A 25,079-nucleotide genomic window follows, 5' to 3' on the forward strand; every position below is an offset into this window, starting at 1 on the left:
AACTGTGAGGATTCTATTCTCAGCCTCCCTTTCCAGCTCAGTGACTGTGTACAAGTCGCTTATCTACTCTGTGGCTCAGTTTTCTTACCCACAAAGTGGATATAATCATTGTACCTAACTCATGTAATTATTAAGAGACAAATGTGCTTAGAACAACATCTATCACATAGCACAGTGTAAGTGTTTGATAATGTTGTTCTTGTATTTACTCTCCATCTTTGGAAGGGGGGAAGAAGGAGCAGAGAGAGAGAGAGAGAGAGAGAGAGACAGAGAGACCCTCCTCCTGTGTTCTGCCTCGGGGCCCATATTTTCAACTGTATTAGTCCGTTTTCACACTGCTGATTGGGAAATTTACAAAAGAAAGAGTTTTATTTGGACTTATAGTTCCACGTGGCTGGGGAAGCCTTACAATCATGGCAGAAAGCAAGGAGTAGCAAGTCACGTCTTACATTGATGGCAGCAGGCAAAGAGAATGAGAGCAAAGTGAAATGGGTTTCCCCTTATCAAACCATCAGATCTCATGTGACTGATTCATTACCACGAGAACAGTATGGGGGAATCCATCTCCATGATTAATTTATCTGCCACTGGGTCCCTCCCACAACCTGTGGGAATTATGGGAGTTACAATTCATAAGATCTGGGTGGGGACACAGAGCCAAACCTTATCATCAACCAACCAGTTGAGCTTGCTTCTTATCTTATACCTCAAAATACCGCATTTTAAGGAAAAGTGATAGGTTTTACTCACTGAGTCCCTTCAACTGATACCTAGTCAATCTCTGGATATACATTTTATAAATATCTTCTTAAAATTAAGCATTAAATCACAACTAAAAATACATAGATCTCACTATCAATTTTCTTAGTACATGTTGTAGTGACAATGTAGAAATGGTATGGTCAGAAACATTTAATATGTGCACCACTGAATGATTTCCTCTTCCATTTAAACCTTTCATCTGCTAAATTATGTTTTAAAGTGAAATATAAACATTTTCAGAAAAAAAGAGCTTCCTAGGTCTGAAAGTGACCAGAAATCTTGATGAAAATGAAAGAAAGGAAAAAAGGGAGTGAAATATAAAACTGTATGATATACGTGAATGTGGGTTTGCTTTATCTCTCATATTTATTTTCCCATTTATTCACAACTGTCGCCTGCTGCATGTGGCTGTGCTTGAGATAATTTGACCTACTCTTACTGCCTACTCTACTGGTCATTACTACTCTTCACTTATCTATTCAAATATTTATTAAATACCCTTCCCTCTTTCATATTTTGATTGGTCCAGCAGAATTCTGATACAATGAAAAGTGCTCCACACCAGGAAATGCTGATTAACTTTAATTTTGTTCTTATGCTGACTCTAATGGTTCCGTAGCCCTCTAAGATATTCGAATTCCTCAAGAAGCTAAACCTACTATTTGTGGTGAGTTCAGGTACCACAACTTGGTAAACAGTTAAAGAGCAGTATGAATTCCATCTTCAGCTTGATATTCTGTTGGCAATAGATTGTGTGAGCCTCCAAAGAAGTGGCTCATTTTTACCACTCTTCTGTACTTTCAGGTTGGCAACTACTATTTCAGCCACTACAGGGATTAAAATACAAGACAGTCAATGAGTCTTTACTACATGACTAAATAACTCTTATATGAAGCACAACATAAGGATGATAAGTCCAAATGTCATGGACATCCCGGAAGGTGAGGCTACAAACAGGGCTAGTACGGTAGGACCCAGTGCACCATAGTCTTCCAGGAAACGTGAAAAAGGTTTTTTTGTGAAAAAATTTGGACGAGAGTAGAAGTACCCTACTTTTTTTTTTTTTAAAGCACAATTTCAGAATGAATATATGTCTATTTTTTTTAATTTCCAAGAATTCAGAACAATTTTGGCATTAGGAATCATTATATATATATAATTTCTCTGTCTTAAAAAGCTTTTAACGTCCTCTTTGTAAGTTTTCCTGCAGAAAAAAATACCAAGTTACTTCCTGATCATGCATAAGTAGTTGTTCCTTTGCGAACTTGCCTCTTTTTACATGAGGAAAAAACTTTATGTTCCATCAGGCTAGACTAGAGCTAGAAGAAGAGAGGTTATTTCCAACTACATGTGGGTGCAGGCAGGAGGCAGTGTCATCCTTCAGGTGTTTGAAACATTCTATAATTTACCCTGTCTTATCAGGAGAGAGTATTTTTCTTGCTTGACTCATTTCCATTCTGGGCAGAAAGTTAGTGTAAAATTTTATTTTGCTTCCAATTCTTACCCTTGGAAAATTCTCACTTCCAGCTCACTCTACCTACTGTTTCTTAAAAGAATGAATACCTTTCTTTCCGAATTCACATGTTAAAGTACAGTTAAAGCAGAATACGTATAGGTTTTAAGCAAATTTTGCACATTTAAAAAATCTTAAGTATTTCTTCCTTCTAATTATAGTCTTTTAAAGCAGCATTTCTTTTCTAATTTAGTAATATATATCTAAATTTTTGCCCCCCCCCCAATTTTTCATCCCCCCCAAATTGGTGGTTATTGAAGAAATATTTATTATAATATATGCTACCAGGTAAAAATTCATATTTGAGCAACTGTATGGCTCTGAAATTCAAAAGACGCTAGATTTTTTTAAGTTGATAATATGAGTCTTAAATGTTACTTTTCAGTGTTCATATGACTAATAATTTTCCTTTATTGTCATATTTTGGTGATATTTGTCATAATATGCATGCATTTTGCCTTTTTCCTTTGATTTAGCTGAAACTTTCAAATAGGATTCTATATAGTTAATTCCAGTTTTGAAAAAAACAGCTACTGATCCAGCAACGTTTTATTGAGCTGGAACAAGAAGCTCTTCTGAACATAAATAATTCAATTAGTTGAAATCAAAGTTATACTACATTCAGTGTTAGGTAAAACTAATATATAACAATAAGGATAGGATCAATATAAACTTGCAAATAGTAGAAGAGATGAGCTTTATATCAACTATTTAATGCAGCCCTGAAAGGCAAATCCCAGCCCATTATCAGACATGAAGAGAAATAAATGAAGGAAAACTGAATGATTAAATGCTTTCATCTGGAAATTTGATTTCAATAATCAGAAACCCTACAATTCTCCTAATTCATCATGGTCTTTGTTTATTACTAATAAATTAATGTGCTGATGGAAAGAATTCATTACCCTTTTTATACACTTCACTAGTTGCAGGTCATTTATTAATCTGTGTTATCTGGTGAGACTAAAACAGCTGTAATTACATTGTTAAACATTGATTAATAAGCAACTCTCATAACTACTAAAAGAAACATGTAAAATGTGTATTCTTTCAAGTATTTAGCTTAAAGTTTTACTCTCCTGTTGGGAATAAGAAATTTCAGAATGCCATTAATATTCTTTCTGAGCAAACTTGATTTGCTTTTGCAGCTGCTTCCAGTCACACCTATGAAACCCGATTACCAAAAAGAATTCAATTACACTAAAGAAACTCATCTTGTTCGTGAAACAATATTAATTCTCTAAAGTTAACATCCAAAATTGAAGTGTATTTTTTTGATTTTTACTTATTTTTCTTTAATTTAATGTTAAAAGGCTGCGCAATCAAAGCTGTGTTTTTATTTCCTCTATTTTGATTATACAGTCTAATACACATCCATTTGTGGTTTGGAATTTAAATATTTTACCAATTGGCAGTACGTCAACAGCCAGAAGCATATTAAAAATTTCTGTAGTTACTGTTTATTAGGTTTCCAGTATAATCAGTTTGATTTAAGTGTTACCAGAACATTATGACATGTCAGATATTTTGATTATCATTAACAGTAAATAAGCAGACTACCCCTGACACATGAGCAAATTATGCAATTTCCTTTCCATCAATACCATAGAAAATAAAATGGTAATGTTAAGAAATGGTTTTCTAGTAGATGTTTTAAGCATAACCCAATCAAATTCATGACTTCTTAATAAAGTGCCTCTTGTGCTGTCAAAAATTCATCTTGAAATTTGAGGTGCCATATAGTTTCTTGTACGTTTGTCACTGAACAGACTCCTGCCACTAATTTTCTCACATTCATATATGAGTGTCAAGTTCTGTAAAGAGGTAGCTGTCATTTTTAGGCAGGATGGTGGTATCGCAGGAACTGAGGGTAGATGTTACATGTTCAGTTCCCAGGTTTTTCACTAAATAGCCATGACTGGAGACAGTTGCCTAAACTATATTTTTACGAGAACAAAAGGAGGTAATTTTTTCCAAAAGTGGCTAGCATAGTGCTGTTAGCTTAGAGTAGACACAGGTAACATGTTATTTTCCTGCCTTCCCTTGCATCAAGATTTGTAATCAGAGTAGTCAATCGTTTTAGATTTTTAGACTGCCAGGATGGTCTTCCTATTCCCCAAATATCTCCATTAACAGCTGGCTTCTGACTTTTGAAAGTCTATTGGTTATTGTATTAAGCTTCTATCAGTTATTCCCATTTAAGTTAATTCATTAAAATATTCCCCAAGATTAGGATTGAAATTATAAAATTCTTTTTTATTAAAAAATTATTTTTTAAAATAAAAAACTAACGAGAAGGGAAGAGGAAGAGTCAGGTCAAAGGGAGGATTACGTAAGGGGACTGAGTGGCTGGATAAAGAGGACAGGACAAACTGGGATAGATCCAGGTGACAGAAGCAAAGAAAGGACTTCACTTGCTCTTTGGGAGAACCTGGTGTCATCCAGCTTGCAACTCAAAGCTGCAACTAGGAACCATACGTGTTACGATGCTCTTGGGTACAAATAACAGAAGCCAACAAGCGCATTTATTGGGAGGATTTTTGGAACATATGTAATTGCAGAGAAGCTGGAAGGCTAGTTTAGAGGAATGAATTGAGCTGAACACTTCCTAGTAGTAAAAATACAGGAAGCACTACAAGTGTTTTTAGCAGGGATAACCTGGCAGGCTACTGCTACTGCTGCTGCTGCTAAGGAAATGAGAAAAGCTTCCTCTGTCTAGAATAAATCCTAACTCTAGTTACTTTTGCTTATATCTTCCAAGTTTAGTGTTTTGGCAGGGGCGTATCTCACTCAGTGCTCTTAGGCCCAGACACTTACCTTACTAGTCAAAGGGCAGGAAGAAGGAAAGTCTATTTTTCTGGCTTCCAGTAGCCTTCAATCACAGGCAGGAGTTCTTTCCCCCATATCCCCACAGAGACAATAAACAATGGGGAGTTTCTTCAAAATAAGAAGAGGTTGAATGCTGTAAAAACAAGGAAACCAACAAACTACTATGCCATAGCACCTGCCTTATGTCCAAGACTCCAAACAGCAAGAGAGTAAGAATGAGACATGATTACTATCGGGGTAGAGGATATAGCTCATTGTTCCTTGAAGAGGATATATCTCATTGTTCCTAGAAGATATATCTCATTGTTCCTTGAAGTCTCCCAGCAAGGGCCTGGGAGACTTGCTGAAAGAGAGATGTCTTTCTGTTCTTTTTCTACTTTGCTCTGTGCTAGGAGAGGCTAACTTCTACGGGCATATCAACTGGTCTGCCTTAACTTCTGGTTGGCCTCAGAATATGGGAAACAAAGCCTAAAAATTAGAGATCAGAAAGACAATGGGTTTGAGTTACTTATTCTCCTAGCTCAGTTAGTGCCTGGCTTTAGGTTGGCTGTTATTATTGTCTCTTGAAGGCCACAGATCGTGCCCTGCTCCTTTTCTACAGTGACATGTTTACCTGAGTTCTCTAAATAATTCCTCTCCTTATATACTCAGGGTTGGGGCTGAACCGTCTTTCCACTATCACGAGCCATTGGATGTTTTACCATTCTTTTATGTTTTCTTTTAACTATGTTGAAGCCTTTGTTCAACAGTCCCTTCTGTAAACTCTCTTCAATCGCATACTCCTTTTGAGTTTGTATTTGGTTTCATGTACCAAGCTGACTGATACAGGTGGGGTGCAGAACACGTCATTAGCTGTAAATGGACTTACTGCTGTTCCACAAATGATTTTTTTAAAATATTGAGTTAGATAATAAGTTTATATAAACCTTAGGCATAATACATGCTTTCACTAATATTTCTCTAACTTTTCTGATAGTCTCCTAAATAAGGAGAAATCAGAGTCAGGTCCAAAAATTACCACAGCCTTAAGTTGGTTTATTTCAAGTCCACATCTATCCTCATATTCAAGCAACATTCTAAAACAAAGTCCAAGTCATGTTTCTCTTCACCAATCAATTTTCTCATTTGATATGTGCATTCTAAAGATAAAATTTATTTAAAGTCAAGTAAGAATTTATAATTTAGGACACTGATTTCTGATGTTCTACAAACCTTTACATGTAAAACATTTTCAGAATCATTTTTAGAATGTTACGTGAATTAAACTTTTCAAAAACAAACAAAAAAATCACTACAATTTTTTTATATCATTTGTAGCTCTTTTCTCATTTTCCATTCTTCTTACTGTACTTCCTGCAACCTGACCCCTATTGAAACAACATGATCTCCAAAATTCCAAATTTCTTTGAACCGAACCTTTTCACTGCATGGGATTTTTCATATCTTTATTGGAAATCTCTCGTCCTTTGGCTTTCATGACAGCATAATCTCAGTTTTCTTACTTGTTTGACAATCCTTACAATCCTTTGCTGAAACTCTCTTCCAAATTCTGTAATACTTTTCAGGGCAAACATTCTTCTTTCCTCCCTCTCCCCTCCCATTTCTTCTCCTTGTCTCTTCTTAATTCTTTTTCTTTCTCAGTTGTACTCCGCTTCTCTCCTCTTCAGTTGTGCTTTCATTAACTATAAAAGCTTTGACTGAAAATATAAAGATCAACAGGTGCTCACAGGTAATATAAATGAGCAAAGCAGATGGAGGTAAGCATTTGTGTGTCTTTAATGAGCAGGGGAGTAAAGGAGGTTGCCAATCTCTTATAAAGGGGCAGCCCTCACTTAGCAAGTGGAATATTTGTCATGTGGTGCTTTGGCTCAGGGTTCTTTGAACTTCCAGTATTTTGAGAAGAGTTGAAATTAGTCTCCAAATGTTTCAGTGTTTGTTCAGAAAACTATTTTAACATGGTACAAGTTAAACAGAACACTCGTATAGACCAAATTTGGTTTAAAGGTGGCTACTTTTTTGTTTTAAATTTTATTTTAAATTTTTGTGGGTACAAAATAAGTGTGTATATTTATGGGCTACATGAGATGTTTTGACACAGATATGCAATGCATAATAATCACATAAGGGTAAATGGGGGCATATATCATAAAAGTGACTAATTTTTGAACCTTCATCTAAACTTCAGTTTTATAATTCTAGACCTGATTTTATATAATTTCTCTGAAAAACTCTACTTACATGTATGACCTACTTGTAAAACTCACACAATATGTCCCCAAACTGTAATCATCACCTTCATTTCCAACCCTTCCTCTTGATTTTCAACAATATTATCACCATTGAGAAACATTTTCCAAGATAGAAATCTTGAAATCATCCTTGTATTCTTATTTTTCCTTTCCCAAAGTTTTCAGACCCTAGATGCTGCATTTCTTGAATCAGTTATCTTTTCTTCCTTATCACTGTCCCTATTATGACTCTAATATTTGGGTGGCCTCCCTAACATCAAAGTATTTCCTTCTGGTAAATTTACTTTTATACGTATTTATATATACATTTATACCTCTGTTAACTCTCCTCTGCCTCGTGGGACTTTTGAAATCTGCCTTTAAAGCTTTCTGGGAAAGGCATACTTTCTTGGATTATGTAAAAAAGTTTTAGATGCCCCAAAATAACTATGGCTGAGCATACTCTAGTATCCACTTTACTCATTTGTAAATGGGTCAAAACATCTCTTTCATATTATTACAAACAAAATAATAAAATGTAAAATTATCATTAATTTTCACAATAAAGTACAATAACATTTATTTATTTATTTATTTGGTTTGCAGTAGATTACTACTTCATATGTTACTGACAGACTTATGATGGTACCAACTCACTCTCTGCTTTCTGTATTATTTTGGCAAAAAGTTTGAAAATTATTGTCTTAAAGACAAAATTCAAGCTACTTTTTTGTATTCAAAAAGTCTTTACAATTTGTTCCTAATTCATCTTTCGCATCTCATCTGAATCTTTCACTTTCACTCTGTCCATATCATTCTTAGCTTTTTGTGGTTTCCCAAACATACCAGACCCTCTCACTTCTTGATTTTGCACATGTTCTCCACTTTATCTACGGTAATTCTTCTAGTCTCAGGTCAAAAGTTAGCTTTTTGTGAAGGCTTCCCAGTTCTGAGGTCTTTAACCACTTTTCACTTACATTGTATTCTAATTACTTGCTAAATTTGTCTCTTTCATTACACTATGAATTTCTGGAGAGCAGAGACCTCCTTTTTAATCCCTATTGTCTAGCGGAGTGCATGTTAATGATTGAAAAAAAATGAATGATGAAACTAGCTATTGAATATATTAATTTTTAAAAAGTATGTGTGTGAACAAAACCCCAGAAAATATCTCTTCTAACTTTCATTTAGTGATAAGATTTGTGTTAAGCAAGATTGTGAACTTTGTCAATAATGATCATGGAAATTAGAAATAATTTAGCCATCTACTTGTTGGTTGTAATTAGTAATACTGCACAATAAATTTTATGAATTAAACACGTTGCACATTAGTTTAGGAGAAACATTTTTAACTATATATTTTGGGTTTGCTTTTCCAGATCCTCTGCTCTTCCTTCTCTACCCTGCTGTTTGAGGAAATGTAACAACTTAAACTGCCGCAATAGGGCTTTTGTTTCTGGCCAGTGGGGAGCGCCGTGGACGAGCAGTGGGCAGAAAGAGAATGAACTTGGTATTTATTCTATTGGCCCTCTCCCGGTAATGGTCCAGTAAGTGTCCCCTCTCTTCTCCCTTAGGTCAGGGGGCAGCAGCTCTACAGTTACTACCAAGCCAGAGTTGCTGCACTGTACTTTGTGGTTCCCTTACACCCCCATCTCTGTAAATAGCCTCATATTTGAGTAGTTTGCTGAATGATCCAGATTTGAGTGTATCCTATTTGATCCATGAAATGTTGGGAACTTGACTCATATAATCTTCTTCTATTTCCATGATTTCTTCTTCAAAATTTTAAATGAGTAAGAATGACTTTTTCTTCCTTTCTTTCTTTTTTAACTACTTTACAGTGATAATTTTTGTTCACCCTTAGGAAAGTATGTGTTCAAGACTAACTTTGAAAAAAAATGGATAAAATGAACAATGGCATGCTTTTGTAAAATGTATTTTTATTCCAGGCCATAGTTCAAAATATTTAGATTGATGTTGAATAGCACTTATATTTTAAGAAAATTTCCTATATTCAAGAACATAAATCAAGTTAAAATACATTAAAATATTTCTCAGATAAATAAGGTTACAAAAAGCTTTCATGAAAGTTTTGTGCCTAAAACAATTAAAACCTAATTTTAAACTCTCTGTGGATAACATTTAATATCAACAGGAAGAAAGTTATTAACAATTTAGACAATTAAAAGTATTTTACATATAATTTAGAAAGTAAAAATTAAAGATATATCTAATAATGATAAAATTATAAAATATTAATTAATCTTTAAGACTATGAAATAGGGAATTATTTTAGCATTCTTATGGATTCCTTTTTCTATTTTCTTTTTTTTGAGACAGCTTGTCACCCAGGCTGGAGTGCAGTGGCATGATCTTGGCTCACTGCAACCTCTGCCTCTCCGGTTCAAACTATTCTCCTGCCTCAGGGTTTACAAGCGCATACTACCACACCCAATTAATTATTGTATTTTTAGTTGAGATGGGGATTCACCATGTTGGCCAGTCTTATCTCCAACTTCTGGCCTCAAGTGATCCTCCCACCTTGGCCTCCCAATGAGCTGGGATTACAGGCGTGAGTTACCACACCCAGCCACTCACCATGAATTCTTAATGTGATATGTTTAAATTCCAGAGCACATTGTTCTAGTTTTTGTTCCAAAGTATTAAAATACAAATATATTGAAGCTTTGCTGAAACACTGCACTCAGGGTTCATGCTGTGGGACTCCCCATAGGTGAAATAATTTTAAGACCCTATTGGTATTTTCCTGAATAATCCTCCAGATGATGCCCAAATGTAGTTGCTTCTCTTATGCTTTACAGTGAAGAACACTGCAGTGAAGTTTACACACACAACCCATTAAAATTAAATCCATCAAGTTTAAAGGTAACTTTAAGGTGCATTTTAATACAAAAAATTAAAATGATAATATACTTTTAACTTCTCTATTTTATATGAATATTTTTCCTACACTTAGTCCTATTCCTTTCATTTTTCACGTCACATATGTTCCACAAATTTTACTCACGCACTTTTAACCTTCCCAAATGATTGACCACATTTCACTATCTCAAGGTTAGTGACTCTGGCTTGTCATTTTTCTGTTAAGTATGGCCTGTAAGTGAAAGCGATTGAATCTTCCAGGATTCCAGGGTGGGTTTTGTTTTTCCTTTGTGACAGTTTCATATACTAAAGAAGTTTTGACAGCACTGGTGCTCCTATTTTTGGGGAACACTTTGAGTTTGCCAAGAATAACAAGTCTTTGAAAATACTAACCCATGATCCAACATTCTGATGAATGTCTGCAAGAAGAAATGTAGGTGACTATAAATCATTTTGGACAGTCTTGGTGATGATATGAACTAACAGAAAACCTGAAGACAACCAACACACTGTATCAGTCACAAGCAGAGAATCTCAAGGGCTGCTGGCCCTAAATTCTAACCACCTCCTACACCCAATGCTGAACCTTTTCTACTAAACAATGTCTATTCTGCCTTTTCTCACAGCACCTACCTCAGTTCTTTACTCTTCTGTTCTAAACTCTGCTAGTGAACCTGACACCCATCCAATACACCTTGGCAGTTCCGCATGTCTAAGACCATCCTGCTTAGGAAAGATCTACTGAACAACTTACACAAATCTGATGACATTTAGCCTTAACTACTCTTCTAGCCAGAGGCTCTGGAATGTGGACCTCACAGTCAAACTTACTCTTATCTCTACGGGATCCAGTTCCCCCACAAGGGCTAATTAATAATTCAATTCATTTTAGCCTGTCTCCTTTTCTGCTCCTTTCTAGTTGTACAAAAGTGTTGCTTCTAAACATTCACCTACTAATTGGGCCCTTATTTTCCACCTACAAACCTGTTTCTCAATAGAGACCTTTTTTTTTCTTCCTAAATTTCCTGAGCCATCAACCAGATTATAGCTGTGCCCTGCTTTCCTGCTGGGAACTAACACCTGCTCTTGCAAAACCCTCTTTGACTTTTGTCTGAATCCAAATTGAGTTTGTCACATTCTTTGTACATTGTTCATGGCTCATACAACCTCCTACACCCTTTCCCCTTTCAACTGCACTTTGTAGTTAGTCTCACAATAAACCTAACTATGGCACCCTAAATATAATCTCTATACCTGTTCTTCCCTGGTGGGTTTAGATTAAGGTACAAATGGCTTCAACTTTTCCACTCTTTTGTCTGCTTGATCAGAACTTCACTTCTCACACTCCAGTCCCATGTATGACATAAGCCAATACCCTATGTTTCCTTCCTTTTCAGTCAACTCCACAGCACATTCCGCCTTATTCTAAGCTTCCTGAGCTCTCTATTTCTGCTGCCAGCCTGCTCATCATTGCTAAACAAACAAACAAAAAACAAAAGTCACAAGACTGTTAAGATAATCAACTTCAGATTAATTGCTACTCTTCAGACAGACTTTGATGGTAATTTCTGTATCACTTAGAGACTGTTTCACACTTTTTTATTCCCTTCTAGCTTTAAAGAACACTTCTGTTCCCATCCACACCCCCTTAACTTTTCTCTCCCTAGCCTACAACCACTTGCCTTTATTCTCAGCAAATATGAAACATACCTCTTATTTTTGCTAACAGAACCATGGACATCCAATCCAAAGGGAACACCCTGAAATGCCTTTATCTTTTCCTAATATTTCTCAAAATTGGCTCTTTTTCATATTTTTTGTGAAAAAATATGAAGTGTCTGCCACCATTCCCAAGCACAACTTATTTATAATTCTCCACTTTTCCTTTTGTTACATCTGTATCCCTAGAACTACTATGGAAACTCTTCTTCCCCTTACCACTAAGAGGGACTTTAATTTTCACTCATTCTCCTTTTAACTTTTTACATCTCAGCTGCTTAAACTTTTTTTTCTTTATTTAATATAACCTGTAAACACAAAACATATATAACTACCTAAAAAATACAATAAGTATATATATATATGACCTTCCAGTTCAAGAAATAGATGATTACTGGCCAGGCGTGTGGCCAACACCTGTAATCCCAGCACTTTGGAAGGTTGAGACGGGCGGATCACGAGGTCAGGAGATCGAGACCATCCTGGCTAATATGGTGAAACCCCGTCTCTGCTAAAAATACAAAAAATTAGCTGGGCATGGTGGCAGGCGCCTGTAGTCCCAGCTACTCGGGAAGCTGAGGCAGAAGAATGGTGTGAACCCGGGAGGCAGAGCTTGCAGTGAGCCAAGATCGTGCCACTGCACTTCAGCCTGGGCAACAGAGTGAGACTCCATCTCAAAAAAAAACAAAAAAAAGAAAAGAAATAGATGATTACCAATATAATTAAATGGGCTTCTGCCAATTGCTTCCGTTCCTTCTGTCCTAGAGTAAACTGCTATCCTAAGTTTTGTGATAATAATTTCCTTTCTTTTCTTTATAGTTTTACTGTGTGTGTGTGTGTGTGTGTGTGTGTGTGTGTATGTGTGAGTGTGGGTGTGTGAATGTGTGTGTATCTTTAATTAATCAATTGTTTATATTAATGCAATACTTGCCACAATCTTTTTTTTCACCCCAGCAGACACCTCTTTGCTATGGTTTTAGAGCCCTTGTGCTTACTGCCATAGCACTTATCTCATTTACTTACTGCCAAACCCTTAGAAAATGAGCTATTTGTACATTTTATTTCTTTATTCTCAGAACTTAATCAGTGCCCAGAACATAGTAGGCATTCCATAAATATTAGTTAAATGAATTAGTAAAAGAAGAAATTGGGGGCACAACCTCCTTACAGGTTCAGAGTTCCTGTATTTTTATATTAACACTGTATTTAAGTAGATGAATACATTTTGAGCAGAAAGATTTTCAATCACAGAGATTGAAACAAAAAGCATGTTCTAGTTAAGTTTCTCTAAAATAATCCCAGTTCTGTCACTAATTGACTGCCACCTTGGGCCATTTACTTAACCTCTTGGTCCTCTGTTACCTAATCTATAAAATGAGGTTGGACTAAATGATCTCCAAGGTCTTTTTCCAACTGTGAAATTCTGTGATTGTCATCAATGATTGTATAAATAAAAAATTCAATTAACAAGAACATCTTAATCCCTAAGCATTATCATTAAATTGAGATTTTACTTTTTCAAAGAGCAATTATTTTATATACACAGTAGGATAAGAAAGTGTTCATATCTTCCTTTCTAGCTACAATTCATCAGCAAATTCCTTTTTACATAATGTGAACAATGTTTCTCCTTGTCTAGTATGGGAACTTCTCTTCCTTTGAAGGTGTATCATTGAGAGGTCTCTTCTTTACTTAATCAATTGATTCATTACCTAGTTCAGAATACATGTCATTTGTCTTACCCTAGTCTAATGAAACCTGCTAGGCTTTCCTCAAAAATCAAATGAGACACTCTAGTCTTCATGACCAGCCTGGGAGAATTCGTGAGACCTTGGACTACAGGCCTCAGGACCTCAGCCTTTATGTGCTCTTGGACCATTCCAAACCCATTTTCTACAGCTAACTTATGTTATTTCTTCCTTCTCTGTTCTTTGCTCCACCTCCTCCCTATTGTTACTGCCTTCTCTCCTATGCCTATATTCCATGGGAAATTTTTGGGTAACCTATGCTGTCTAACTGACCCACTTAGAACTTCCCTCTGTAAACCGTTCCAGTGAGGGCCACTTTTCACATTACTGCTACAAGGTAGGAATCTGCACACATATATAATATAATTGCAGAATAAAGAAAATCACTTAAACATGAAAAGTCATATGCATGGTCATTCTAAAATATTTAACAGCTTTATTGTGGTATAAATGATATAAGGTAATCTTTACATATGTCAAATGTAGTTTGCTTAATTTTGACATAAGTATATACTTGTGAACCCATAAACAGAATCCTGATAATGAATATATTTTTCGTTCCCTAAACTGATCTCATCACCTTTTATAATTCTTATTTTCTACCCTTCCCCACACTCTTCTCACGTTCCCCCCAAACCCCACAGTTCCATCTACTTTTTAAACACTATAGATTTTATTACATTTTCTAGAATTGTTTATCATTTGAATAGTTGAATACTCATGGCTTATTAATAATTAAATATCTATCCTCTTTTTCTCAGCATAATTATTTTGAGAGTTATCCATGTCATTGCATGTATTAGTAAATAGTTTGTTCTAGTTTGTTGTCTAGTATGTTCCATATTGTGTGGATTTATCACAATTTATTTGTCTATTCATCTGTTCATGGACGTTTGGGTTATTTCCAGTTTTTGGCTATTATAAGTAAAGGTGCTATGAATATTTCTGTTCAAGTCTTTGTATAGATATATACTTTTTCTTCTTTTGGATAAATACTAAGGATGGTATGGCTGGAAAATATGATAATTATTTTTTTAAATGCCAAATTACTTTCCCAAGTTGTTGTGCTATTTTGCCAGCAGCAGTATATGAGAGTTCCAGGTTCTCCACATGCTGCTAACACTCAGTTTAGTCAGTCACTTTATTATAGCCATTCTAAAAGATGTGTCATGGTACCTCACTATGTGCTTGTCATTTAGAATATATAAATAAAAGCAAAACTTCGGTAGTAAAAAGACAAGTAACTCAATAAAAATGGTAAAATGTTTAAATGGACACTTCACAAAACAGTATATACTAAAAGAAAATATGCATATAAAATGATGCTCAGCATCATTAGTCATTAGGAAAGTGCAATGTATTATAGATATTTTGATTTACAAAAGAATCAATTAACATGAACTGCTGAGTTGTACATGGTTCATATCATATATGTAACGTAGGTGTGCTTTTTTTTTCCTAATGCAGCGTGAAACAATTTAATGCATAAATATTTATGTTTTAGATTATGTCCCTGTTATGGATGACCAAGAATAAAATATGTATATTAATACATATTTTCAAATTACTTCCCAGAAACATACAATTTCCGTCAATGAATGAGACTTCCTCTTTTCACAAACTTTTAAAAAGTATTAACTTCTAAAAATCTTTCTAAATCTGTTTGTTGAAATTTTGATTTAATTTTAATGAAAATATATTTTATTACTCTGGATAATCAGCTTTGTGGTATATTTATTATATGAAATTCCTTTTTTATGAATTGTCTCTCATATTCTTTACTTATTCACCTATTGTATCAGTTTTTTCCTTGATGGCTTGTGTGAACTCTATGCAATAGTTATTAAATCTTTTTCCATTGCAAGCAGTTCTCCACTTTCTTTTAATAGTGTTTGTGATACTCTTGATATTTAGCTTTAACTTTTTATGTTCCCAGCATATAAACTGTATCCTTCATAATTTATCACAATTACTTTAAACTTAGAAAGTTTTTATTATACATTTTTAGCTTTTTATGGCTTGATCTGTTATATTTAAAAACTTAATTAATCTATAATGAATTTTGGCGTATGGTATAAAGGATCTTAATTCATGTTTTTCTATTAGTGACCATTTGTTCAAGAACATTGGTTGATTAATTTCTTATTCCCTCATTGTTTTCCACATTTTTTATTACATATTTCTTTTTATGAACTAGTTTCCATTTGGGGGCTATTCATTTTATCTACTCAATTTATCTATTTTGTGGAAATTCTGCACTGAATTATAATACATTTTATAAATATTTTAATCTCTCAGACACATCTTCTGTTATTACTCTAAAATTACTAAGAATTGTTTTATCTCTGGTTGTCTTTCACAAACTTGATAATTATTTTTGTTCAAATTAAGTTAAGATCTCCTTAAAGTTTTAATTAAAATTGTGTTACAAATTTAAAGTAGTTAGTTTGAAAAGAATTTTGCATTGTGTTTTGTAGTCTTATACAGAAATATTGCATAACTTTTAATTTATTTAAATATTTCTTCATTGCTTTCAGGAAATCTGCAGTTTATTTTATTTACATCCCATATATTTCTTATTCATTTTCTTACTAAGTGCCTCATATTTGAATATTAGTATGTATGTATGTGTGTATATAGTATCAGCATGTATGTATGTGTGAGTGTGTGTATGTATGTATGTATGTATTTAATTATACAGTCAACCCTCTGCATGGAACAGTTCTGCATCCAAAGATTTAACCAACTGAGGATAGAAAATATTTGGAAAAAATGGAGGGCTATGTCTGTACTGAACATGTACACACACTATTTTCTTGTCATTATTCCCTAAATCATATAGTATAACAACTATTTACATGGTCTTATATTGTATTAGGCATTATAAGTAATCTAGAGATTATTTAAAGCATACAGGAGAAGATGTGTAGGCAATGTACAAATACTACACCATTTTATACAAAGAAGTTGAGCATCCATGGATTTTGATATCTGAAGAAGGTTCTGGAACCAATCCGCCATGGCTACCCAGGGACCACTATACTTCCAATTATTTAAGACTGGTATTCTGAAAAGCTATGCAATTTTGTATGTTTATTTTGTTTTCAGCCACCTTATCGAATTTTCTTACTAACTTTATTAGTGTTTCTTTTGATCAGTTTGAATATTCTAGCTGTAAAAACATGTTATCTAGAAAAATAATTTTTGTTTATATTGCCATATTTAGACTTTTACTTCTTAAGTTCTATTTTTGATTAATTGGTTAAAACTTCCAAAGGCATTTCAAATTATAACAGTTTTATCAGAAATTCTTGTGTTTTTCCCTAATTTTATTAGTTTCATATTTAGTATGAACTTAGTCAAATTTTAGATCCCCCTTTTACATTTTTTATTAATATTAATATTTTTAAGCCAGTATTAAGGGTTTACTCAAAATAACCTAAAATATCAGAATTCTTCCTCATTTGATCAGTGATACTCTAAATATAATGTGAAGGTAACAAAAAGAAATATAGTATTTAAAAATGTCAATTATGTTCCTTTAAATTACTATTACTTTCATAAATTGATTTGTTATTTCTAATCACATCTATAATATAGCCAGTTAAATAATTAATGGATACATTAAATTAACAAAAATTTTATTTTCTCTTTGTATGCAGAGTTATGAGCATCTACTGTCCTACAACTCTTAAAACAGGTGCTTGGAAATGATAAGAATCGTGGTCTTTACCTTTAAGAATGTCACTTTGGCAAGTCACTTCACCTCTCTGCATAACTAAGTCATTGAATACTACATATGTCTTTAATTAAAGTGTATGTAGGATGCTAAGGTGGCAGTCAACATCTTTGTGAATTTGAGCAAGGTACATTATTTCTTAGTTTTCTTACCTCATTTATTTATAAAGGAGTCAAGATAGGTTACCTCTATGTATTACATCAGTCTCACACTGCTAATAAAGACCTACTCAAGACTGGGTAATTTAGAAAGGAAAGAGGTTTAATGGACTTGCAGTTCCACATAGCTGGGGAGGCCTCACAATCATGGCAAAGGTAAAGGAGAAGCAAAGGCACATCTTACACGGTGGCGGGCAAGAGAGCATGTGCAGGGGAACTCCCCTTTATAGAACCATCAGATCTTGTGAGATTTATTCACTATCATGAAAACAGCATGGGAAAGACCCACCCCCATGATTCAATTACCTCCCACCAGGTCCCTCCCACAACACGTGGGAATTATGGGAGCTACAATTCAAGATGAGATTTGGATGGGGACACAGCCAAATCATATCATTCTACAATCTTTTTCACTAAAACATCTGTACCTTTATAAAAATCTTCGTAAAAATAAAGCATATATTTGTGAGAATATATATAATAAAAAATTATGAGTCAATACACTATGGTAGACACATCAGTGATTTTGGCTCAGACTATACTATTATCAAAATTCTAGCATTACCTCTTACTATATGTATGGCAGTATATTAATTGTTTAAACTCTATGAGCTGGAGTTTTATTAATGTAAAACAGGAAATATTATTTGATAACTGTTATGGATGTGATGAGGACTAGATAACAGAAAGTATTGAAAGTATTGTACTCTGTGGGTACCATGTGGGGCTGTATCTGTTAAAAGTCCCAATAGGAAACAGATGGCACTTGAAAATAGGTTACTTCTAGGATGATTTATTTACAGAGGTACTAATTATCAAGGTGTAGGTGTCTAGTTACCACAATGGATATTTCAGTAATCTAGGCCTTTGTAGCAGCCAAATTATTATCACACCTAGGCCCAGGATAGTAAGGAAGGAAGCAGTTTGGGAGCTTGGAAGGATGCAGTCGTATATAATCCTGGCCTTGAGAGATAAAATGGTCATTAGTGGAGGGAAATAATCAGCCTAAGACAAACAGAAATAAACCTCATTCAGAATGGTATAGGGTGGGTTTACTGACTAATTAATCTCATCACATCTGGGCTTCAGAATTTTTGCTCTAATAGGACCTGTGTTGTCCAGGTATCTTCATAAAAATGTACTCAGAGAAGGTTCATTGCAGTACAATTTAATGAAGATAGCAGATTTATTTGTCCAGAGTAATTGGGTCTATAAATTAAAGAAAGATTATATATAATTTACAGTATAGTCAAATAAGTATAATATTGGTTCTGATATCACTTTCCAAATTCTCCTCACAGAAGACTTGTGATATTCATTTAGCAATGTGATATAGTCCAATTTGGATTCTGATCTTTCTGTCTCAAGTTTGTTTTGCCCAAATCTGTCTGAGCAAGCTTTATGCCTTGTAATACAAGGCTCTCAGTCTTTTCCTGTGTGTGTGTATTTTTTTTTCTTCTCCTTCAATGAGGAATCTTTAAATACTGAATCTTTATCAAATGATGTCTATAGAAAGCTGTGCTTCACTTCAATATGTTCTGGAAACTGCTGTCTGGGAGAGGATTCCAGCTGCTCTTTGCCCTTTGATTCTGAGAGATGTGTGTCTAATGGCAGCTGCTTTCTCTTCGTAGAATTAGCATTCTCTTTTTCACTTTGATGATACACGAGAAGTTTTCATCCCCTTGTGTTTAAAAGAGTTACTTCCTTCTTGGAGTCATAACTGGATCTGCTGTTGCAGGGAAACATGGATGCCATGATGCTTCTGTGGGCAGCCATAGCTCAAGGCACTGTTCTTTAATTACTTCCTGTGCTACCTGTCAGGAAATTAACAGAGGTGGATGATACAATGAAAAGAGTGCTGGGATAAAAATTTAAACCCTGGGCTATACAGTAGGTTTGTTCATTCTCTAGCCGTGCAATTTGGAAAAAATTATAATATGCAACTTTTTGATCCCCAGTTTTCTTTTTCCCTCATTTGAAGGAATGAAATAGTACAATGCTCTGCTTAACTCAGATGATTGTTATGAGGCACAAATGAGATAATATATATGATGGGATTTTCATACTATAAAGTGGAAGGGATTACTACTATGTGGAAAAAAATGCATATTCTTGAGCCTTTGGAAACAGCACAGTACGTTATGTAAATTAGTATTGAACTTGTGTTCATATTTTCCACTAGCCAAATGAAAACGACATTTATTTCTCATGGAAATCACAAGGGATATTAAACAATCTTGCTTTAGCATATTTAATATAATTCTAAGAATTAACAAGCAATATTTAGAGTAATCATATATACAAGACTGCACAAATCAAATCATAATCATGTTCATTTTACACGGATACATTTTCTAAGAGTACATTGTATCTTTGCTATTCATAACATACTTGAACAGATTTTAAGCCTCTTTCTATTTTTTCTTGAGCTGTCAAATTTCAAAAATTATTATATTGACTTTAAGGGAATTGTGTAACCTTCATTAAAGGCAATGACTATTATTAATACATTAATTCTGGAGTTAGTCTATACTGTTCAAATGAATCAGCCTACTGCATGTTTGTTTGGATCTTTAAAAGTTTACGTGAGTTACCAGGCACTGTGGTTCACACCTGTAATCCCAGCATTTTGGGAGGCTGAGGGGGGCGGATCACGAAGTCAGGAGATTGAGATTATCCTGGCTAACATGGTGAAACCCCGTCTCTACTAAAAATATAAAAAAATTAGCCGGGCGTGGTGGCGGAAGCCTGTAGTCCCAGCTACTCCGAAGGCTGAGGCAGGAGAATGGCGTGAACCCGGGAGGCGGAGCTTGCAGTGAGCCGACATCGCGCCACTGCACTCCAGCCTGGGCGACAGAGCGAGACTCCAACTCAAAAAAAAAAAAAAAAGTTTACGTACTTTCAGATGGTAATAAGTTCTATAATAATAACACTGGCATATAGGATCAGAAGTGGCTGGAGTAGAAAGGAAGAGAGATCTGCCATAAGTGAGATGGCCAATAAAGGTCTGTTTCAGAAGGTGACGTTTGACTTGAGGCCTGAATTATTACAAAGAGCCAGGCTTTTGAATAATTAGGGCAAGGAATTTGTAGGATTTAAGAGAAATATGAAAAGTTCTATCTGAGAAAATGAGCTTGGCAAAGTCTGTTTGGTTGAAGTGTAGTGAATGGTTAAGCAGACCGACTGAATCAAGCAGTAGATTGTAGGCTTACACAACGAGATTAGATATTTATTGTTGTTGTTATCCGCTACTTTGAAGTACTTAATGGTATTCCTTGAGTGCTTTCCAATAGTTTCTGCAATGAGAAACCATTGGAAAGATTTAATCCAAGGAGTAACATGACTTGATTTACATTTTTGAAAATTTGCCCTGACTAGCATGTAGAAAATGAGTCATGTGAAATCCAGTGATGGAAACTGGGTAACAGGTTAGGAGGCTATTCTAGTATTTCAGGCGAGAGAAGATGGTAATGATCAAGATGGTCAGTGTTCATGGAAATGGTCTGATCTGAGAAGTATGTGAGAAGTATATAACCCCTAGATTAAGCAGATGGATTTGATGTGGGGTATTATTAAAGAGATGAATTAATTTTGCCTTTTACATTTTGGGGTGATCATCAAGGTAATATCAAGTGTGAATGAGGACATCTAAAAGCAGAAGACGTTTTAGGGGTGGGGTAGATCTGAGGCTGCTGTTGAGTCAAGATTTCTGTTTTGAACTTGGTAATTTTGAAATGCCCATTGGGAACCCAAATAGAGATGCTAAGAGTTTGGTTATATTTTTCTAGAATATGGGTGATTTATCCTAGTGGAGAGACTATTAAGTTGGGTCAGTTAATCATTAGAAAGATAATTAACATCTTAAACAATTATCAAATATCTGCTAAAAGCCCTAGGTAATTTTAAAAATGCTTAAACTGTGAAGAGCTCTTTATTTCTCAAAATTTTAAAGTGAGAGAAGACTATCTCTTATATTATGACATGGAAGAGAAAATCAATATTTGAAATACCTCCCAAATGACTTGAAGTCCATACATAAATTTATATTTATTCTTATTTTCTAGTGATATATCTTATTTTCAATTCCTTTTAGTAAATGAAATTACTTTTGTGTTTTGCCTGCTGCTGCACAGAGGGAGCCTTTAAAGTCAGAGTACTTTATTACCATGTTTTAAAGAAGGATTCATTCAAAAAGGGAGAGGACAGATACATTTAAAATTATTTTTCTGCACTAAACCGTTAACAGATTTAAACCTGGTCAGTCTGTTTCTAAAAAAAAAAAAAATAAGTTTTATATTGTCAGCATAGGCAGCATATAAACTTAATATTAAACTTGTTGCAATTTTAAAAGTTGAAAAAACATTATATCCATTTTGTTCTTGTGAGTTTTATGTAATGAACTTGTAAGTTTACATCTTATTGTGGAAAGACAACATATTACAGTTAAATCAGACTTAATATGATTTAACATGCATATTAACACATTCTTAGTATGATATATTTCACTTTCCTCCTACATTACTTTCTTTATGTTTGTGAGAAAAAACAAAACAAAACAAAACAGGAGTTTGTTTGGCATTGAAGAGCAAAATGGCTAATTAGCACGCACAATGAAAGTTTTCATAGATTTTCTCCTTAGTGGGTTTTTTCTTTTGAGTCTTTCATTGTTGATAACATGCCATTAATCTTTTGTTTAGGATCTCTTACCTTAAAGCAGGCTTAAAGAAAAGCCTTTCATTTCTCTCTCTATATATGTATAGTAAATATATATAATTTTTTGCAGTAGATTCACTTCCCCTGTAAATATGCTTGATGAAAGAGTTCCTGGCAATCCTTAAAAGAACAGGCTGTGGGGATCCTCATTAATCTTCTAATAGTTTCTGCTGTCGTCCCTCTCGAAATTTCCTTGCCTTGTAAAGTATTTGTGGTAAAGCAAGAGCACTTTTGCTTTCCACCAAGCAATGTCATTCAGCCAGATCCCAACAAAAGCCGCAGCTTCCTTTCAAATAGTTTCAGCCTCAGCTGTATTATTGGCTGGGATTCTGAGCCGTGAAAGGGAGATGCTATTTGTTTAACTGTGTTTCACAATACAAACAAGCTGAGAAAATACAACTCTTCTGGTTTTCTTTTGTGTCTCTTGATAGTAATATGGTTTTACTCTTAGTGACTGCAAAGTTACTTTGGAAACAGATGTTAGACTTTTTTTTGTTTTTAAGTTTGTAAGCATTTTGTTAGATACTGTACCTTGATAACATAGCTATGTTTAGAGTTATAAAGAGAATATCTTACTGGTTTCATTAGCAATAACATGTCAACAGTCTGTAAAATGAGTTCCATATTAAGCCATAAATGTGAGTTGCTGTAAAATAAAAAGTAATAAAGTATTTAAAGAGAAAATAATTTCTGTTGAGATTTTAAAGTTTTTCCTGTTTACATTGTTAGTCAATAAATATCTTTAATTCAAAGGTTAAGTTTATAGGATAATCCTCCTTGAGAAGGGAAGGCATATCTAAGTGTTAACAAAAAGTTGATCTCAAAAGCTGAGAGGAAGTGTGCTATGCAGATCTTTACTGACAATGCTCTAAGACCACTAAAAGAAATGACAATATATAAAAAATAAAATAATAGGACTCATGTAGAAATATGTATCAGTTTCTTTATATAGTCTCTATATGCTTGGGAAAGCTGCAGATGATAATTCTTTCTAGTATTATTTAATTAGAAAGAAGAGCAACTTGAAACAGATTATCATTTTCTCAACTAAAAAAAAGTCTATTCATTTGAGCAAAACTGCCACCTAAGAACCGTGGTACTGCAGAAAGGATGATTTATATATTTAGATGTATTCCTTCATAAAATTTTGCATTTCTACTTTTTAAAATTTGTGATTCAAGGGCCCAGTATAGAAGCATTTATAGGGCAACCATCCTATAAAAAAGAAAGGGGTAAAATGTATATACATTTATATAAAACAGCCAGCTAATACATATTAGTATCAATTATTTCTAAGAGAGAACAAAGACATTAGAACTTATAGGCAAATTTCATTCCAATAATTGATACTTGGTTTTAAGACTCTTGTAGTACACACTCAGTTGTGGTACTCAAAGTGTGGTCTTGCAACTAGCAGTATCAGCATCACCTGGGAACTTGGAGCTGCAAATTCATCAGCCTTATTTGAGGCCTACTGAATCAGAAACTCTGGGAGTAGGTTCCCCAGTAAGGATTATTAACAACCATCCAGGATTTCTGATATACACTAACATTTGAGAACCACTGCTTTATGCACTATACAATGTTAACAAGAACTAATTATAAGCCTAAGTCAGTGCAATCTTCCTAAATTTTAAATCCATAGGAGGTGCAAGCCAATCCTTGGTTACATGATAAAATAAAGGTAAAGGTCTCTTGTTTCATTATCAATCTTGTATTTCTCAAGCAAGTATGACATTTTGTAAGCTACTTGAAGAAAATATTTACTGTTCAAACACAAAATGTTATTTTTAAATCTCTCTAAAAGGATATGTGACTCAGGAACACAGATATTCACTCTTTCAGGATCACTGTAGCAGTGTCTATGTGGAATTTCAGTGCAGAATCAGATCTGGATTATTGTTTTTGCATATATGTCTAGCTATTCCCCAGTCTTGCCAAGCAAAGTAAAATGTTCATAGACAAGCAAAGTGCTTATAGCAAGATATTACTACTATAAAGATGCATCAGCCTCCCCAAACCTCCACACTGTTTATTATTCTAGTAAAATAACTATGACAGAAGAAGCAGAATATCAAATTTTAAAGACAATTTTATGGTGATTTTTTGGTCGGAATACAGTGGGAGTGCATTGAGTCAGTGGTATACTTGGAGAAGATTTTCATAAGCCCATCTATATTTCTAGATGGCAGAGTATACTGTAATCTAGTAATAAATATGTTAGAAGATCAACCAATTTATTTTACTCTGTAGATGTACCTTTAAACATGTCCTATTCTATTCACGATTAAATGTTAGTATTAATCGCCATCTAACAGAGTATGTTATTTATGAACTTTAGGAACTCAGGCAAAATACTTAATTTCTTTGTGTTTTTGTTTTCTCTTATATGAATTGGGAATAAATTTATACCTCAAAATTTATTTTCTAAAGTTGGGGATATCTTGATCAAAAAATGGCATTGAAAAATATACAGTATTTAAAATAGTGCTTGGCACATAACAACTACTCACTTAATATTAGCTATTGCTATTACAGGTTGAGTATCCTTTATCCTAAATGCTTGGGACCAGAAGGGTTTTGGATTTTGAATTTTTGTCAGATTTGGGAACATTTGTATACAAAATAAAATATTTTGGGGATGGGACCCAAGTCTAAACACAAAATACATTTATTCTTCATATAAACCTTATAAACATAGCCTAAAGGTAATTTTATACATTTTAAATAATTTTGTGTACCTGTTACATGAGGTAGGGTGTGAAAATTTTTATTTGTGGCATCCTG

General features: G+C 34.2%; 1 long non-coding RNA gene across 1 annotated transcript in view, besides 1 other annotated feature; it reads left to right on the forward strand.

Moving 5' to 3' along the window:
• The first annotated feature begins 483 nt into the window (after window positions 1-483).
• Window positions 484-25,079, forward strand: part of LOC105377899 (uncharacterized) — a 198,745-nt gene continuing 174,149 nt past the window's right edge. The window contains exons 1-2 of the long non-coding RNA XR_001744262.2: window positions 484-1,703; window positions 8,712-8,879. This is a non-coding gene — a long non-coding RNA (uncharacterized LOC105377899). The remainder of the gene's footprint in view (window positions 1,704-8,711; window positions 8,880-25,079) is intronic.
• Window positions 8,138-8,187: a silencer, noted in NCBI's record as "silent region_17403". NCBI's record gives its function as "represses an Ori minimal core promoter by ATAC-STARR-seq in GM12878 lymphoblastoid cells {active_cell/tissue: GM12878}" and the evidence as "EXISTENCE:reporter gene assay evidence [ECO:0000049][PMID:35858748]".

Source organism: Homo sapiens, chromosome 6, assembly GCF_000001405.40.
Source record: "Homo sapiens chromosome 6, GRCh38.p14 Primary Assembly".
NCBI lineage: Eukaryota > Metazoa > Chordata > Mammalia > Primates > Hominidae > Homo > Homo sapiens.